The sequence below is a fragment of the Homo sapiens genome, chromosome 4 (assembly GCF_000001405.40).
Source record: "Homo sapiens chromosome 4, GRCh38.p14 Primary Assembly".
NCBI classification, from domain to species: Eukaryota; Metazoa; Chordata; class Mammalia; order Primates; family Hominidae; genus Homo; species Homo sapiens.
In genome coordinates, this window is record NC_000004.12 from 188558175 (window position 1) to 188576819 (window position 18645).

The 18645-nt window shown below is 38.3% G+C and overlaps 1 long non-coding RNA gene across 1 annotated transcript in view, besides 1 other annotated feature; it reads left to right on the forward strand.

Moving 5' to 3' along the window:
• The window catches only part of LINC01060 (long intergenic non-protein coding RNA 1060), a 146331-nt gene that overhangs the window by 102597 nt on the left and 25089 nt on the right, over positions 1 to 18645 (forward strand). The gene's annotated exons all lie outside the window — the stretch shown is intronic.
• Positions 7749 to 7953: a silencer, noted in NCBI's record as "fragment chr4:189487077-189487281 (GRCh37/hg19 assembly coordinates)". NCBI's record gives its function as "represses an EF-1alpha promoter that drives an FKBP-Casp9 reporter gene in an ReSE screen in HepG2 liver carcinoma cells {active_cell/tissue: HepG2}" and the evidence as "EXISTENCE:reporter gene assay evidence [ECO:0000049][PMID:32094911]".

Consider the following 18645-nt stretch of genomic DNA (forward strand, 5'->3'; position numbering starts at 1 on the left):
ATATAACATGCAAAATATGCATTAGTCAACTATGTTATCAGTAAGGCTACAGGTCAACAGTAGACTATTAGTAGTTAAGTTTTTTTTTTTTTGTCTTTTTTTTTTATTATACTTTAAGTTTTAGGGTACATGTGCACATTGTGCAGGTTAGTTACATATGTATACATGTGCCATGCTGGTGCGCTGCACCCACTAACTCGTCATCTAGCATTAGGTATATCTCCCGATGCTATCCCTCCCCCCTCCCCCCACCCCACAACAGTCCCCAGAGTGTGATATTCCCCTTCCTGTGTCCATGTGATCTCATTGTTCAATTCCCACCTATGAGTGAGAATATGCGGTGTTTGGTTTTTTGTTCTTGCGATAGTTTACTAAGAATGATGATTTCCAATTTCATCCATGTCCCTGCAAAGGACATGAACTCATCCTTTTTATGGCTGCATAGTATTCCATGGTGTATATGTGCCACATTTTCTTAATCCAGTCTATCATTGTTGGACATTTGGGTTGGTTCCAAGTCTTTGCTATTGTGAATAATGCCGCAATAAACATACGTGTGCATGTGTCTTTATAGCAGCATGATTTATAGTCCTTTGTGTATATACCCAGTAATGGGATGGCTGGGTCAAATGGTATTTCCAGTTCTAGATCCCTGAGGAATTGCCACACTGACTTCCACAATGGTTGAACTAGTTTACAGTCCCACCAACAGTGTAAAAGTGTTCCTATTTCTCCACATCCTCTCCAGCACCTGTTGTTTCCTGACTTTTTAATGATCGCCATTCTAACTGGTGTGAGATGGTATCTCATTGTGGTTTTGATTTGCATTTCTCTGATGGCCAGTGATGATGAGCATTTTTTCATGTGTTTTTTGGCTGCATAAATGTCTTCTTTTGAGAAGTGTCTGTTCATGTCCTTCACCCACTTTTTGATGGGGTTGTTTGTTTTTTTCTTGTCAATTTGTTTGAGTTCATCGTAGATTCTGGATATTAGCCCTTTGTCAGATGAGTAAGTTGTGAAAATTTTCTCCCATTTTGTAGGTTGCCTGTTCACTCTGATGGTAGTTTCTTTTGCTGTGCAGAAGCTCTTTAGTTTAATTAGATCCCTTTTGTCAATTTTGTCTTTTGTTGCCATTTCTTTTGGTGTTTTAGACATGAAGTCCTTGCCCATGCCTATGTCCTGAATGGTAATGCCTAGGTTTTCTTCTAGGGTTTTTATGGTTTTAGGTCTAACGTTTAAGCCTTTAATCCATCTTGAATTGATTTTTGTATAAGGTGTAAGGAAGGGATCCAGTTTCAGCTTTCTACATATGGCTAGCCAGTTTTCCCAGCACCATTTATTAAATAGGGAATCCTTTCCCCATTGCTTGTTTTTCTCAGGTTTGTCAAAGATCAGATAGTTGTAGATATGCGGCGTTATTTCTGAGGGCTCTGTTCTGTTCCATTGATCTATATCTCTGTTTTGGTACCAGTACCATGCTGTTTTGGTTACTGTAGCCTTGTAGTATAGTTTGAAGTCAGGTAGTGTGATGCCTCCAGCTTCGTTCTTTTGGCGTAGGATTGACTTGGCGATGCGGGCTCTTTTTTGGTTCCATATGAACTTTAAAGTAGTTTTTTCCAATTCTGTGAAGAAAGTCATTGGTAGCTTGATGGGGATGGCATTGAATCTGTAAATTACCTTGGGCAGTATGGCCATTTTCACGATCTTGATTCTTCCTACCCATGAGCATAGAATGTTCTTCCATTTGTTTGTATCCTCTTTTATTTCCTTGAGCAGTGGTTTGTAGTTCTCCTCGAAGAGGTCCTTCACATCCCTTGTAAGTTGGATTCCTAAGTATTTTATTCTCTTTGAAGCAATTGTGAATGGGAGTTCACTCACGATTTGGCTGTTTGTCTGTTGTTGGTGTATAAGAATGCTTGTGATTTTTGTACATTGATTTTGTATCCTGAAACTTTGCTGAAGTTGCTTATCAGCTTAAGGAGATTTTAGGCTGAGACAATGGGGTTTTCTAGATATACAATCATGTCATCTGCAAACAGGGACAATTTGACTTCCTCTTTTCCTAATTGAATACCCTTTATTTCCTTCTCCTGCCTAATTGCCCTGGCCAGAACTTCCAACACTATGTTGAATAGGAGTGGTGAGAGAGGGCATCCCTGTCTTGTGCCAGTTTTCAAAGGGAATGCTTCCAGTTTTTGCCCATTCAGTATGATATTGGCTGTGGGTTTGTCATAGATAGCTCTTATTATTTTGAAATACGTCCCATCAATACCTAATTTATTGAGAGTTTTTAGCATGAAGGGTTGCTGAATTTTGTCAAAGGCTTTTTCTGCATCTATTGAGATAATCATGTGGTTTTTGTCTTTGGCTCTGTTTATATGCTGGATTACATTTATTGATTTGCGTATATTGAACCAGCCTTGCATCCCAGGGATGAAGCCCACTTGATCATGGTGGATAAGCTTTTTGATGTGCTGCTGGATTCGTTTTGCCAGTATTTTATTGAGGATTTTTGCATCAATGTTCATCAAGGATATTGGTCTAAAATTCTCTTTTTTTGTTGTGTCTCTGCCTGGCTTTGGTATCAGGATGATGCTGGCCTCATAAAATGAGTTAGGGAGGATTCCCTCTTTTTCTATTGATTGGAATAGTTTCAGAAGGAATGGTACCAGTTCCTCCTTGTACCTCTGGTAGAATTCAGCTGTGAATCCATCTGGTCCTGGACTCTTTGGTTGGTAAACTATTGATTATTGCCACAATTTCAGCTCCTGTTATTGGTCTATTCAGAGATTCAACTTCTTCCTGGTTTAGTCTTGGGAGAGTGTATGTGTCCAGGAATTTATCCATTTCTTCTAGATTTTCTAGTTTATTTGCGTAGAGGTGTTTGTAGTATTCTCTGATGGTAGTTTGTATTTCTATGGGATCGGTGGTGACATCCCCTTTATCATTTTTTATTGTGTCTATTTGATTCTTCTCTCTTTTTTTCTTTATTAGTCTTGCTAGCGGTCTATCAATTTTGTTGATCCTTTCAAAAAACCAGCTCCTGGTTTCATTAATTTTTTGAAGGTTTTTTTGTGTCTCTATTTCCTTCAGTTCTGCTCTGATTTTAGTTATTTCTTGCCTTCTGCTAGCTTTTGAATGTGTTTGCTCTTGCTTTTCTAGTTCTTTTAATTGTGATGTTAGGGTGTCAATTTTGGATCTTTCCTGCTTTCTCTTGTGGGCATTTAGTGCTATAAATTTCCCTCTACACACTGCTTTGAATGCATCCCAGAGATTCTGGTATGTTGCGTCTTTGTTCTCGTTGATTTCAAAGAACATCTTTATTTCTGCCTTCATTTCGTTACGTACCCAGTAGTCATTCAGGAGCAGGTTGTTCAGTTTCCATGTAGTTGAGCGGTTTTGAGTGAGATTCTTAATCCTGAGTTCTAGTTTGATTGCACTGTGGTCTGAGAGATAGTTTGTTATAATTTCTGTTCTTTTACATTTGCTGAGGAGAGCTTTACTTCCCAGTATGTGGTCAATTTTGGAATAGGTGTGGTGTGGTGCTGAAAAAAAATGTATATTCTGTTGATTTGGGGTGGAGAGTTCTGTAGATGTCTATTAGGTCCACTTGGTGCAGAGCTGAGTTCAATTCCTGGGTATCCTTGTTGACTTTCTGTCTCGTTGATCTGTCTAATGTTGACAGTGGGGTGTTAAAGTCTCCCATTATTAATGTGTGGGAGTCTAAGTCTCTTTGTAGGTCACTCAGGACTTGCTTTATGAATCTTGGTGCTCCTGTATTGGGTGCATATATATTTAGGAGAGTTAGCTCTTCTTGTTGAATTGATCCCTTTACCATTATGTAATGGCCTTCTTTGTCTCTTTTGATCTTTGTTGGTTTAAAGTCTGTTTTATCAGAGATTAGGATTGCAACCCTTTTTTTGTTTTCCATTGGCTTGGTAGATCTTCCTCCATCCTTTTATTTTGAGCCTATGTGTGTCTCTGCACGTGAGATGGGTTTCCTGAATACAACACACTGATGGGTCTTGGCTCTTTATCCAATTTGCCAGTCTGTGTCTTTTAATTGGATCATTTAGTCCATTTACATTTAAAGTTAATATTGTTATGTGTGAATTTGATCCTGTCATTGTGATGTTAGCTGGTTATTTTGCTCTTTAGTTGATGCAGTTTCTTCCTAGTCTCGATGGTCTTTACATTTTGGCATGATTTTGCAGCGGCTGGTACCGGTCGTTCCTTTCCATGTTTAGTGCTTCCTTCAGGAGCTCTTGTAAGGCAGGCCTGGTGGTGACAAAATCTCTCAGCATTTGCTTGTCTGTAAAGTTTTTTATTTCTCCTTCACTTATGAAGCTTAGTTTGGCTGGATATGAAATTCTGGGTTGAAAATTCTTTTCTTTAAGAATGTTGAATATCGGCCCCCACTCTCTTCTGGCTTGTAGGGTTTCTGCCGAGAGATCTGCTGTTAGTCTGATGGGCTTCCCTTTGAGGGTAACCCGACCTTTCTCTCTGGCTGCCCTTAACATTTTTTCCTTCATTTCAACTTTGGTGAATCTGACAATTATGTGTCTTGGAGTTGCTCTTCTCAAGGAGTATCTTTGTGGCATTCTCTGTATTTCCTGAATCTGAACGTTGGCCTGCCTTTCTACATTGGGGAAGTTCTCCTGGATAATATCCTGCAGAGTGTTTTCCAACTTGGTTCCATTCTCCCCATCACTTTCAGGTACACCAATCAGATGTAGATTTGGTCTCTTCACATAGTCCCATATTTCTTGGAGGCTCTGCTCATTTCTTTTTATTCTTTTTCTCTAAACTTCCCTTCTCACTTCATTTCATTCATTTCATCTTCCATCACTGATACCCTTTCTTCCAGTTGATCACATTGGCTTCTGAGGCTTCTGCATTCTTCACGTATTTCTCGAGCCTTGGTTTTCAGCTCCATCAGCTCCTTTAAGCACTTCTCTGTATTGGTTATTCTAGTTATACATTCTTCTAAATTTTTTTTCAAAGTTTTCAACTTCTTTGCCTTTGGTTTGAATGTCCTCCCGTAGCTCAGAGTAATTTGATCGTCTGAAGCCTTCTTCTCTCAGCTCGTCAAAGTCATTCTCCATCCAGCTTTGTTCCATTGCTGGTGACGAACTGCGTTCCTTTGGAGGAGGAGAGGCGCTCTGCTTTTTAGAGTTTCCAGTTTTTCTGTTCTGTTTTTTCCCCATCTTTGTGGTTTTATCTACTTTTGGTCTTTGATGATGGTGATGTACAGATGGGTTTTTGGTGTGGATGTCCTTTCTGTTTGTTAGTTTTCCTTCTAACAGAGAGGACCCTCAGCTGCAGGTCTGTTGGAGTACCCTGCCGTGTGAGATGTCAGTGTGCCCCTGCTGGGGGGTGCCTCCCAGTTAGGCTACTCAGGGGTCAGGGGTCAGGGACCCATTTGAGGAGGCTGTCTGCCCGTTCTCAGATCTCCAGCTGCGTGCTGGGAGAACCACTGCTCTCTTCAAAGCTGTCAGACAGGGACATTTAAGTCTGCAGCGGTTACTGCTGTCTTTTTGTTTGTCTGTGCCCTGCCCCCAGAGGTGGAGCCTACAGAGGCAGGCAGGCCTCCTTGAGCTGTGGTGGGCTCCACCCAGTTCGAGCTTCCTGGCTGCTTTGTTTACCTAATCAAGCCTGGGCAATGGTGGGCGCCCCTCCCCCAGCCTCGCTGCCGCCTTGCAGTTTGATCTCAGACTGCTGTGCTAGCAATCAGCGAGACTCCGTGGGCGTAGGACCCTCCAAGCCAGGTGCAGGATATAATCTCCTGGTGTGCCATTTTTTAAGCCCGTCGGAAAAGTGCAGTATTCGGGTGGGAGTGACCTGATTTTCCAGGTGCCGTCGGTCACCCCTTTCTTTGACTCAGAAAGGGAACTCCCTGACCCCTTGCGCTTCCCAAGTGAGGCAATGCCTCGCCCTGCTTCCGCTCGCACACGGTGCGCGCACCCACTGACCTGAGCCCACTGTCTGGCACTGCCTAGTGAGATGAACCCAGTACCTCAGATGGAAATGCAGAAATCACCGTCTTCTGCGTCGCTCACGCTGGGAGCTGTAGACCGGAGCTGTTCCTATTCGGCCATCTTTGCTCCTCCCCCCTTAGTAGTTAAGTTTTTGAGGAGTCAAAAATTTCAACTCTGAGTCAGTAACCCCCATGTTGTTCAAGGATCAAATGTATATATTTCCATATGTGTGTTTAGATACATGTATGTGTGTGTGTATATATTCATGCATGTGAGCCTATGTGCGTGTAGACTATTCTCTAAAACTCAAAATCAGAGAAAAATAACCTTTGTGTAAAGTAAAATATATCAATGACCATAATCAGATATGAATCATAATTCTAATATGTAGTTGACGTATAGAAAAAAGCATAAGAATTTGTATTGATATGTTTATTTAAATTAAATTATAAAATTGCATAGAGTTAGAAAAAGCAAAATTAGTTTATTGCAATTATTATTTTCTCAACTTGATATTAATAAAGTTATTTTTATAATAATGGCACATATTAAAAAGCAATTTTACTCTGTCCTTCAGAGCATTTGCTCCACATTGGAGCTATTTCCATTGTAGATTTTTTTGTAAGGCTATAATTCTATCACATGGGCAGATTGTGCTAAAACAAGCAGAAAGGGTCACAACCTTCTGTCTAACCTTTGCTATTTAGAATGAACGCCCAGGGCTTTCGAGAATGTAAATTGTCCTGGCCTGTTCTCTGACAAAATAAGAACATACAGTTGAAGAATTATTTTTTGTAAAACCTAAATTTGCCTTTTTTCCTCACACTAAGCTCTTCTCAAGTGTTAAGTTTAAAGACAGTTAATTATCAGCTATTCTTTAGAGCACGGGAAAAACAGTTTAGTACTCAGTAAAGTGAGCATGCAATCTACCTTATTCCTGTTTTTTTCGATGGATGAATGTGAAGAATTTACACAGTCATGCAAGAGAGGCAACGATAGTGTTCTCTTAAGAAGACAAAATTATAAGATTGGAGGTTAACACTTGCTCAACCCAGTAAAAAGGCATTTGGTAGATATTTCTGATCTTTCCCTGACTGATGAAAAGTGCTGATATTTCTAAGAAACTGGTAGGAAACTTTAAAAAAAAAAAACTCCCCGAAGCCTACCACCAGGCATGCCATGAACTTTCAGATGACACATCGTGCTACTAATTTTTAGTGACCTTTGCTAAATTTATCAAAAAATGCTCTCACTAAATCCATTTCTGTAGAAATAAAGAAAATATCCGTGATGTGCAAACTCACAGTACAAATCTGTGCGGCTTCTGACTGCAAAAGATCCTGCATATTTCATCAAAGCCTCAGGGTTGTGGTTATTGATGTTTCCCAGAACGTGGAGTGAAACCCCACACAAACAGATTGCCAAAGGGGAGAAAACTATGATTTGTGAAATTCAACATTATCTCTTGAATGCCTTTGCTTTTTATTTTGAACATACTTTATTTTTTAGACCAGTTTTAGGATCACAGCAAAATTAAGCAGAGGTATAGAGATTTCCTATATATCCACTGCCCCCATACAGGCATAGCCTCCCCCATTATCAAAAGCCCCCACAAGAGTGGTAAATGTGTTACAACTGATTAACCTCCATTGACACATCATTCTCACCCCAAATTTACCTTAGGTGTTAGACATTCTGTGGGCTTGGAGAAATGTATAATGATGTGTACACACAATTACGGCATTATACAGGGTAGGTTTCTTGTCCTAAACGTTCTCTGTGCTCCACCTATTCAGTCTCCCTCTCTCTTAAGTCTGGGCAACCATTGATTATTTTTACTGTCTCCATAGTTTGCCTTTAAAAAAATGTCATATAGTGGCTCACGCCTGTAATTCCAGCACTTTGGGAGGCCGAGGCAGGCAGATCAACGAGGTCAGGAGTTCGAGACCATCCTGGCCAACATGGTGAAACCCTGTCTCTAACAAAAATACAAAAATTAGCTGGGTGTGGTGATGCTTGCCTGTAATCCCAGCTACTCAGAGGGCTGAGGCAGGAGAATCACTTGAACCAGGGAGTTGACGTTGCAGTGAGCCGAGATTGCGCCACTGCACTCCAGCCTGGCGAGAGAGCGAGACTCTGTCTAAAAAAAAAAAAAAAAAGTCATATAGTTGGAATCGTGTATTATGTAGCCTTTTCAATTTGGCTTTTTTCACTTGGTAATATGCATTTAAGTTTCTTCCACATGATTTTATGGCTTGAAAGCTTATTTCTTTTTAACGCTGAGAAAATTTCCATTGTCTGGATGTACAACGGCTTATTCCTTCGCCTATTCTAGGCTATCTAAATTTCTTCTAAGTTTTAGCAATTATGAATAGAAATGCTCTAAGTGCAAGTTTTTATGTAGACATGTTTTCATCTTCTTTGGGTAAATACCAAGGAGAGTGATTATAGTATCATATAATAAAAGAATGTTTAGTTTGGTAAGAAACGGTCAAACTCTCTTCCAAAGTGACTGCCATTTTGCATTCCCATCAGCAACGAAAGAGAATTCATTGTTCTTTAACCTCACTAGCATTTGGTGTTGGATCTGGAGCTTGGCCATTACAATAAGTGAGTAGTAATATCTCATTGTTTTAATTTGCATTTCCCTGAGGACGTATGGTATGGAGCATCTTTCACGTGCTTATTTGCCATCTGTATATTTTCTTTGGTTGGGTGTCTATTTAGGTCTTTGGACCATTTTTTAATTAAGTTTTTTTTTTTTATCGTTTAGATTTAAGGGATTCTTTCTATATTTTGAATAGCAGTCCCTTATCAGATATGGCCTCCCACATGAGAATGTAATTCTTCTGACAGTGCCTCTCATGGAGCAGAACTTTTTAATTGTAATGAAGTTCAGTTTATCAATTGTTTCTCTCAGAGATTATGCTTTTGGTATATCTAAAAAGTCATTGCCAAACTCTTGCTAATCTAGATTTTTCTCCTATGTTATCTTCTAGGAGTTTTATAATTTTGTGTTTTAGAATCCACTTTGAGTTAATTTTTGTGAAGAGTATAAGGTCTGTGTCTAGGTTTATTTATTTTTGCATGTGGATGTTCAGTTGTTATAGTACTATTTGTAGAAAAGACTGTTTTTGCTCCATCGTCTTTGCTCCTTTGTCAAAGATCAGTTGGCTCTATTTATGTAGGTCTACTTCTGGGCTCCTCATTCTGTTTCTTTGACATGTTTGTCTGTTGTTTTACCAATACCACACTGTCTTGATTACTGTAGCTTTATAGTAAGTCTTGAAATCTGGTAATATCTGTCCTCCAGCTTTGTTATTCTCCTTCAATATTGTGATGGTTATTGTGAGTCTTTTGCCTTTCCATAGAATCAGTTTGTCAATATACACTAAAATAACTTGCTGGAATTTTGATTGGGGTTGCATTTAATGTATAGATTCAGATGGGAAGAACTGCCAGTATTTAGCCTCTCTATCCATGAACATGAGATGTCTCTATTTATTTAGTTCTTTGATTTTTTTCATCAGAGTTTTGTCATTTTCCTCCTATAAATCTTGTACATATTTTCTTAGATTTATATCTTCGGTATTTCATTTTGGGTGTGCTCATGTAAATGGTATTATGCTTATAATTTAAAATTGTACTTGTTCATTGCTGGTATATAGGAAAGCAATAGGGTTTCGTATATTAACTTTATGTTTTGCCACCTTATGATAAGTTAGTTTCAGGAGGTTTTGTTGGTGTTATTAAGTTATTGTTGTTGATTATTTTTGATTTTCTACATAAATAATCATGTCAACTGCAAACAAAGACAGCTTTTTTACTCTATTGGTGTGTTTTATTTATTTATTATTTATTTATTTACTTATTTATTTATTTTCTCATTGCATTAGTTAGGGCTTCCAGTGTGCTGTTGAAAAGAAGTGGTGAGAGGTAATATCCTTGCCTTGTTTTTCATCTTAGCACAAAAGTTTCCACTTTCTCACCATTAAATGTAATGTTAGCTGTATGTTTTTGTAAATATCACTTGTTAGTCTGAAAATGTCTTTTTATTATTATTATTATACTTTAAGTTTTAGGGTACATGTGCACAACGTGCAGGTTTGTTACATATGTATACATGTGCCATGTTGGTGTGCTGCACCCATTAACTCGTCATTTACATTAGGTATATCTCCTAATGCTATCCCTCCCCACTCCCTCCCACCCCACAACAGGCCCCGCTGTGTGATGTTCCCCTTCCTGTGTCCATGTGTTCTCATTGTTCAGTTCCCACCTATGAGTGAGAACATGCCTGCAGGTTCTGTCCATTTGTGGTAGAGGGACATTAAAGTGTTCAACTATAATAGTGAATTTGTTTCTCTTTGTGGTTCTATCAGTGTTTGTCTCATAGCTCTAATGTCTGCTCTGAATTCACATAACTACTCCTGCTTTCTCTTGACTAATGTTAGTATGGTGTATTTTTCTCTATTTATTTACTTTTGATCTATAGGTATCTTTATATTTAAATTGGATTTCTTGCAAACAATATATAGTTGAGTCTTGTTTTTTGATCCACTCTGCCAATTTCTGACTTTCAATTGGTGCATTTAGACCATTGATACTCCAAGCGATTACTGATATAGTTGGATTACTGTCTATAATATTTTTTATTCTTTTCTATTTGTTGCCCTTTGCTTCTATTTTTGAATTCTACTTCTTTCTGCTTTTTTGTAGCTTGAGTTTGTTTTTTATTGAACAGAATGAACAAGAAGTTGTTGGCTCCTCAAAATCAATTATTATTTTTATATCAAACTGGAAAATTAAAACTAAACTTCAAGTTTTATCAGCTTGTTATTTGACAAGTACTTTTTTTTCCCAGGCACTGCCCTTTACATCTAAGCCAATGGGTTTTCTATCTATCTGTTTCCTACTTTCTAGTTTAGGTTTTAATAGTTTTTAAATCTTTGTGGTTATTATTGATATTCTCAATTTTTACTATTAAAATGAAGCATTATGGATAGTAAAGCATATTTTGAAGAATTTCTACGGTGATTAAAAATTTTTCTATTTTGTAATATGGTGTTATTTTTACATAGAAAAACACCTGATACTTTTGAGACCTCAGTTATCTCTCACATAAACTCTCACTGAATTTATCTGTACCCAAGTCATGGTGTTAAGAAGTCTTGCTGTGAAATGTAGAGGTCAGTCACATACATGTTGAAATACAACAGAATGTGTGTGGGTTGCTTCCGGGCTCTTCTGCTTACCAGCTGTGTGTCCTTGCACAAGTTAACTAAATTCTTGCCTGTCAGCTTCTCATCAGTAAACTAGGGAGTATAAAGACAATCCATAGTATTATTGTGGATGTTAGCTAAAATATTTTAATGCAAAGTATCAATTAAAATTTTTTGAAATATAATAGATGTCCCAAAATGCTGGCTTACCATTCATTATTATTTTAATCTTTGCATTTCAGTCTTTTGTGATACTTTCTCCAACATACAACAGTCTAGAATGGAAATATGGGCTATATTTTTGAATTTCTAAGCATTTTACCTGGCTATTAGTATGAATTCAAGAAGCATTTGTTGAAAGAAAAATAAGATTCTCAAATTGTAAGCATTAGTGCAAACATTTACTTGGCCACTAAGAAAATTTAATAATTAATTAATATACTTTAGAATTTGTTTCAAAACTCTAAATGTTTATGATAAAACTAAACTTTCTGGTATTTGGATTTATTCTTAATAACTTCTTTTCCTACATTGCCTTTGTGAAGTTTTCTCTCTAATAAGCCACCTTTAAAGTTTGAAACTGCAGAATCACAAAGTGTACACTTGCTGCATACTGTAGAGTCCTTTTGGTTGCACCAAATCCTGTTGAGAGTTTTACCATTTTAATAGGCATCAGTCAGCGTCTGCAAAAACTTTGCACACATGTAAAGCTGTTGCTGAAATCTTTTATTATCTGGAGAAGGAAAAGCACTAATTTTTTCATGCCATAAAATTCCTAAAAATGATGCTCTGATGGTAACATAATGCCCTATATGTGAGTACCATGGTTATAGATTTAATCTAAAATATGAAATCATCAATACTATACAGCCAATATCAAAAACATGTTGATCAATCCATAAAAGATATGTTGATCAATAATGATCAAAGCTTACCGATACCACCGTGTCCAGTGTTCATTCTAACAGCACAGCACAATGGTTCCAGACAATTACCTAGTCTTGTTCTCCATATCAAGTGGAGTTATTAGCCAATGGGTGAAAATTTTCTGTTAAGCAAGATGAATAAATTCTAGACATCTTCTGTATAGCATTCCACCTATAGGCAACCATATTGCACTGTACATTGAAAATTTTGTTAAGAAGATAGATCTTACGTTAAGCGTTCTTACCACAATTTAAAATAGTTTTTTAAATTAGCTAGTAAACCTTTTTTATGGTCTAGATACTAATTTCCAAATATAAAGATGGATAATTTAATTGTCTTTAAAATTTAAGCCCAGGTGAAGTGTCAAGAATGTCAGCATTTATTTCTGTGTTGACAAATCAGAACATAAACATAAACAAATCAAAACATCAACTACATTCAGGTCTCCAACTTTAATATCAACTATCTGTTAATTGATTTTAGGTCCACATCTTTGTCCACAATGGCACATTTCTAAACGCATCATCTGGAATTAAAACTACTTACCTACTCTCTATACAGTTGCCACTTAACGGGAATTTCCTGGTTGGGTCAGGAATGTGTTTATTCTTATGCATTCTTTGCAGGCTGCATTGCCCAGAGTTCAATCTGGTTTCATATTGTGAAGCACAGGGGAGAGTGGGAAGAGGTAAATATTCCCTACACCTTCCCACCCATCCACCCTGACCCTATCCTCTTCCCCACTGTCTGAGGGCTTTAGACAGTGGCTACATTTTTCCATGGCTCCGTCCAGAAAGGTCCACTGTTACTTCAGTTTTAACCAAATAATCCCTGCCCCTGAGCTCTGGTAAATGCCTCTTCTCTTTGCTACTCTGGCCTCGGAGAAATAATTCCTTACTGGGATTCATGATATCTGGGTTTTCTCTCAGTGATTTCACTGGTGTCTCAGCCCTTCCATTACCCTTGCAGCCAGTCCCCAACTCGAAATTATTGTTGTCCAGGGAACTCAAACAACTCAACAAGAAAAAACACAGGTAGCCCCATTGAATAGTGGGCAAATGACATGAACACATATTTTTCCAAAGAAGACATGCAAATAGTCAACAAGCATATGAAAAACTGCTAAATATCACTAATCAGAGAAAAATCAAATTAAAGCCATAATAAGATAATATCTTACAGCATTAAAAAATATGGTGGTGAGGATGTGGAGACAAGGGAATGCTTTGTACACTGTTGGTGGGAGTGCAAATTAGTGCAACCTCTATGGAAAACAGTATGGAGATTTTTCAAAGAACTAAAAATAGATGTACCATTTGACCCAGTCATCCCAGTACTGTGTATCTACGCAGAAGAAAAGTAATCATTACACCAAAATATACCTGCACTCATATGTGTACTACTCAAAGCAGCAAAGATATGGAATCAACCTGAGTGTCCATCAAAGGATGATTGGATAAAGAAAATGTGTTATTATATATATATACACATATATAAAAACACATTTTCGTGATATATATATATATATATATACCATGAAAAAATACTCAGCTATAAAAAAGAATGAAATTATGTCTTTTTCAGAAACATAAGTGGAACTGGAGGCCTTTATCTTAAGTAAAGTAACTCAGAAACGAAAGTCAAATACGGCATATTCTCACTTATAAGTGGGAGCTAAACAATGTGTACACATGAACATAGAGAGTGGAATAATAGACATTGGAGGCTTGGAAAGGTGGGAGGGTGGGAGTGGGGTGAAGGATGAGCAATTACCTCTCGGGTACAATGTGCACTATTTGGGTGATGATTACACTAAAAGCTCAGGCTTCACCAGCACATAATATATCCATGTAACAAAACTGCACTTGTACCTTCTAAATCTGTAAAAATAAAAATTAAATTGTCCTTATTTCAAATGCAGTAGGTGGTTTCTGTTTTGTTTTTGTGTTTTTGCTTTTTGACAAAATTGCGATATATATGCGCTGTATAATGATATCCTAGGAGTCACGTTTCTGGATCTACTTTTTCAGGGTCATTTCTAAGCATTGTGGATTATGTATCTGTTTTAGATTGAAAATACTGAACCATATAGCTTTCATGGGATTTGAGAATGAAATCATGTTTTCCCTAAGAAATGATATCTTTTCTTCTAAAAACACAAAGCAGTCTAACTTTGATAATTAATTCTAATATGCATTGGGAACACATGCATAGGTAGATGGAAAGTTTGATGAAATGCTACCATGTGATATATGATTTTCATATATATCTCATTTATTCTTGCAACCACTCAACAGGGATATTATGTAACATAACTTGCTGTTGTGAAATCTGTAAAATAGCTACAAACCAAATCCAAGGCTGTCTGAGTCCAAAGCCTAGACCATTTCTACTCTGTAAAACTATTTCTTCTTCAGAGAAAATATTTAAAACAACAGTGACAGACTATGAATGTTCAATATGTATAATATGGAAATTTGTCTCTTTTTTCTTTATTTTTCTTGCTGTATTAGAAAAACTCCTTGCAGCGTTTTAAGATTAATGTTCCTTTCCCTCTAGGAAAGAGGATAGAGCAAAACAAGTTTTGTTTTATTAATGATTTCAGTCCTGGATTTAATAAATTTTAAACCTACACTATGAAATTAAAAGGGATGATGCATTTTGGGATGAGGATGAGTTAGAGGTAGAATGACATAAAGATAAAGAAGTGAAGGAAGTTTATCAGGCGTGAAACAGAAGCCTGGGGCACGATGATGGGGAAGGTTTCCAAGTGGGAGGAGCTACTGATTAGTGAGTCCAGAGGGTAGTTCCCAGGAAGGAGCAACGTACATCAATAAGGAGGTTCAAAAACAAATTGTCTGTACCTGGTAAGGACAGAAGTACAAATTCATTGGTCTGTGTTAAAAGTCTTGTTCCTTATCAAAATGCAATCTATAGAGAACTTCGTTAATCTGGATATTAGGCAGGCATCATGCTGATTCACTAAATGATGACATCATCTTTATGAGCCTTGATAAAATAAAGTACAAATAATCCAAAATGTCCTGGAAATATACATGCATCATGGAAGATGGTAGGTAAACTTCATGGAGAATCAGGGGCTTGACAAATTGATGTTCTTAGAGGATTGAGGTATGCCACAGGTAGGGAAGAAACGGTTGCATGTTGCACCTCCAGTTACTAAGGCAGAAGCCCAGATCTTCATGGATTTTGGAGGTAGCATTATTTATTGGGTGATATGGTTTGGCTGTGTCCCCACCCAAATCTCATGTTGAAGTGTAGCTCCCATAATTCCCACGTGTTGTGGGAGGGACCTATGGGAGGTAATTGAATCACGGGGGCAGTTTTCCCCCATACTGTTCTCGCGGTAGTGAATAAGTCTCATGAGATCTGAGGGTTTTATAAGGGGTTTTCCCTTTCTCTTGGCTCTCATTCTCTCCTACCTGCTGCCATGTAAGATGTGCCTTTCACCTTCCACCATGATTATGAGGCCTCCCCAGCCACGTGGAACTGTGAGTCCATTAAACCTCTTTTTCTTTATAAATTACCCAGTCTCCAGTATGTCTTTATCAGCAGCATGAAAACAGAGTAATACATTGGGAACTTGGAAACTATCAGTTTTAAGTGGAATCCAGAGAAACAGAGGGCTGTGTAGCACAATCTGTTCTGCCTCTTAAGCCACATGACTCAGTAAATCCAGAGATGCTAGATGTATCTGTAATAGATAATGAAGCTACATGGAGTCTCTGACAAGCCCAAATATAAGGGTTGCAGAACAGACCCATAGGGTTTTAGATAAAAGCCATGCCTTCCTTAGCGTGCAACTGGACCCCAGCAGACTGAGCACCGTAATGCGGGATATGAAGTGATTTTCCAATCATTCTTTCCTCATGAGTTGGATATGTTCAGATCTGTCAATTTATGACACTGAGGGTTTGCAACATCAATATATTATACAATATTTGATGGGAAAAGTATTGTACTGATGTTTGTAGTTGTGTAACAAATCACCATAAATTTAGCATCTTAAACAACACGCATGTATTATTTCACAGATTCTATGGATGAAGAGTGTGGGCACAGATTAACTGGGTCTTCTGCTTAGGGTTTCAATGGCTGAGAAATCAAGGTGTTGACTAGACTGTTTTCTCATCTAGAGTTTACTGGAGAAAATCCACTTCCAAGTTGGAAAAATTCATTTCCTTGCAGTCACAGGGTTAAGGTCTCCAGCTTCTTGACAGCTGGGGCTGGGAGCCACCTTCAGCTTCTGGAGGCTGCCAGTAGTTCTGAGAAGCCACCGGCAATTCCTGCCAATGGCCACTTATACTTCATCAAGCCAATAAGGAGAATCTCTGTGACAAGCCAGCCTGCAAAACAGGGTAATATACTGTAACTATCATGTGAGTGACATCTCATCACATTCACCAAATTCTATCGATTAGAAGCAAGTCAAGGTCCCATTGACATTCCAGGGGATGGAATGAGGCACAAGGCATTCAGCACCAAGAGGTGGAGATCATGGGGGCATCTTAGAGTCTGCCTGCTACAGATAAATTCAGAGTTAGGCCTGAAAAGGTCCAGAAGACACAAGTAAGTTGTAGCCATGAGTAGCCCAGGTGCAATATCATATACCTCAGTAGCACCAGTGTCTTCTCCTCAGCTAAGGAAGGTGTCAAGAGAGACATCTTATGATCAACCTATGGAGGAAGAAAAAATTTGTGGTATTTTGCATGTCGGCTCAGGGCAAAGAGTGCATTTTAGAATAAAGGAGGTGTGGCAACGTGTGTGCATGGCCGTCAGATGCACAGGGCTAAGAAGCAACTGCTAGAAAGGTCAAATAGCTGTAATAGGTTCAGCTCATGTGGAACTTGGGACACTGCTCTGTATGTTTGAGACTCTCTCCTCCAGAAAACAGAATATTTACTGAGCCAGCAGTCAATACATGGTGCTGAGACTGACATGTCTAGAAAACACAGGTCTCAGGACCACAGGGTGAAAGAGTTGCCCCCTCACCATCACACGTGAGTATCCACTTGAAGAATCACTGTGTTTTCCAGTCTCACAACATTAGGCTCTCCTGGATTAGGGATAATGGTTCCCAAGAAAGAACTGCTTCTATAGGGAATATAGAAAGAATTCCACATAATATAAAGTTACTTCAAGTTAGAACTGCTGTCTGATTACTTTGGGTTTCTCATACTAACGTACTCAGAGGCAAAGAAAGAAGATACTCAGCTAAGGAGGTAATTAGTCCAGGTTATTATGAGAGACAGTGACAAATGTAGAATCCAAAAAGACTAATATGGCCATCTCCTGTTATTTATCTGTTCAGTAAGAACAATGAACGGGCACTTATAGCAGTCATGGTCCAGTAAGAGGAAGAAAGTATGGATTCAACTCTGTAGGGGTGATGGTTTGAGTCAACGCAACAGACCAGCAACCCAGACCAAACAAAGAGATCTGTCATTCTTCCTGTGAGTGACACCGGAACTGCTCTCGTTAACCTTACACTGTTCGTCTCTGACTTCCTGTTCCAGACTTCTCTGTTGGCACATTGAGAGTAATGTCATGGTGAGCTGCTGTGCGCTCAAGAATGTGCTACCTGGAGGTTTGGGAAGTTAAACCTTTAGAGAAATCTTTTGACCAAAGGAACTTGGGAGAAAATGGATACACATTTTCCTATAACTTCTCCAGAAAGTCTTGAGACATAGTCCATAGACTTCCGTAGGAGATCAACGAAATGAAGGAAGCAGCTGTCGATAGTTGTGGCTAACGTAAAAATGTATCTCTATATTCAGCCTCCCTTCTCCCCTGTTTTGTTCCCCTGCTTCCTGGATTCCACTCCTCGATAAAATACTTGCCCTTAAGCCTTTGCCTTAGCTCTGGTGTCTGAGGAATTAGAGCTAAGATACTGCTCATTATGAGAATGTCAACACCCACGCCAAGTCTACTAATTCCAGATGATCTAAAATTTTAAGACCCTTAGGGATCCAGTTCACTGGAGGATTCTACTCAAAGGTATAGAGAAAGGCCTTTGTTCAAGCTGCACATCACATTTTGTTAATTAGGCATGGAAGTCACTCTCCTCGTACCCAAGGTCTCACATGTGCTCTCCTAACGTACTGATTAGCATCCAAGCAAAACCACAACCCATCATATACCACTTTAAGCTTCTCTTCCCCCAGTGGTATTATTGCTCTGTCCTAATTACGTGACAACAACCCCACGGATTTGAATTCAAATGGCAGCAAGCGGCCAAAATGCCAATTTCTTCATCTACTAATCTGTACTTCTATAGTTTCTCTCCGAATGTTTTCTTCCTCCATTTTAAAGTTATATTTCTGTACATGAATAACTCCATTATACAGTTAATATGGTAAAGGAAACAAACTCTTTCTTATGTCAATGACACCTTTAATACTTTTTTTATCATTCCTCTATTTTAAAATCTTACTACATTTTCCTTTTTGAAGGTATTATTTTCCCATATGCCTACAGAAAATATGCCCATTGGCAAA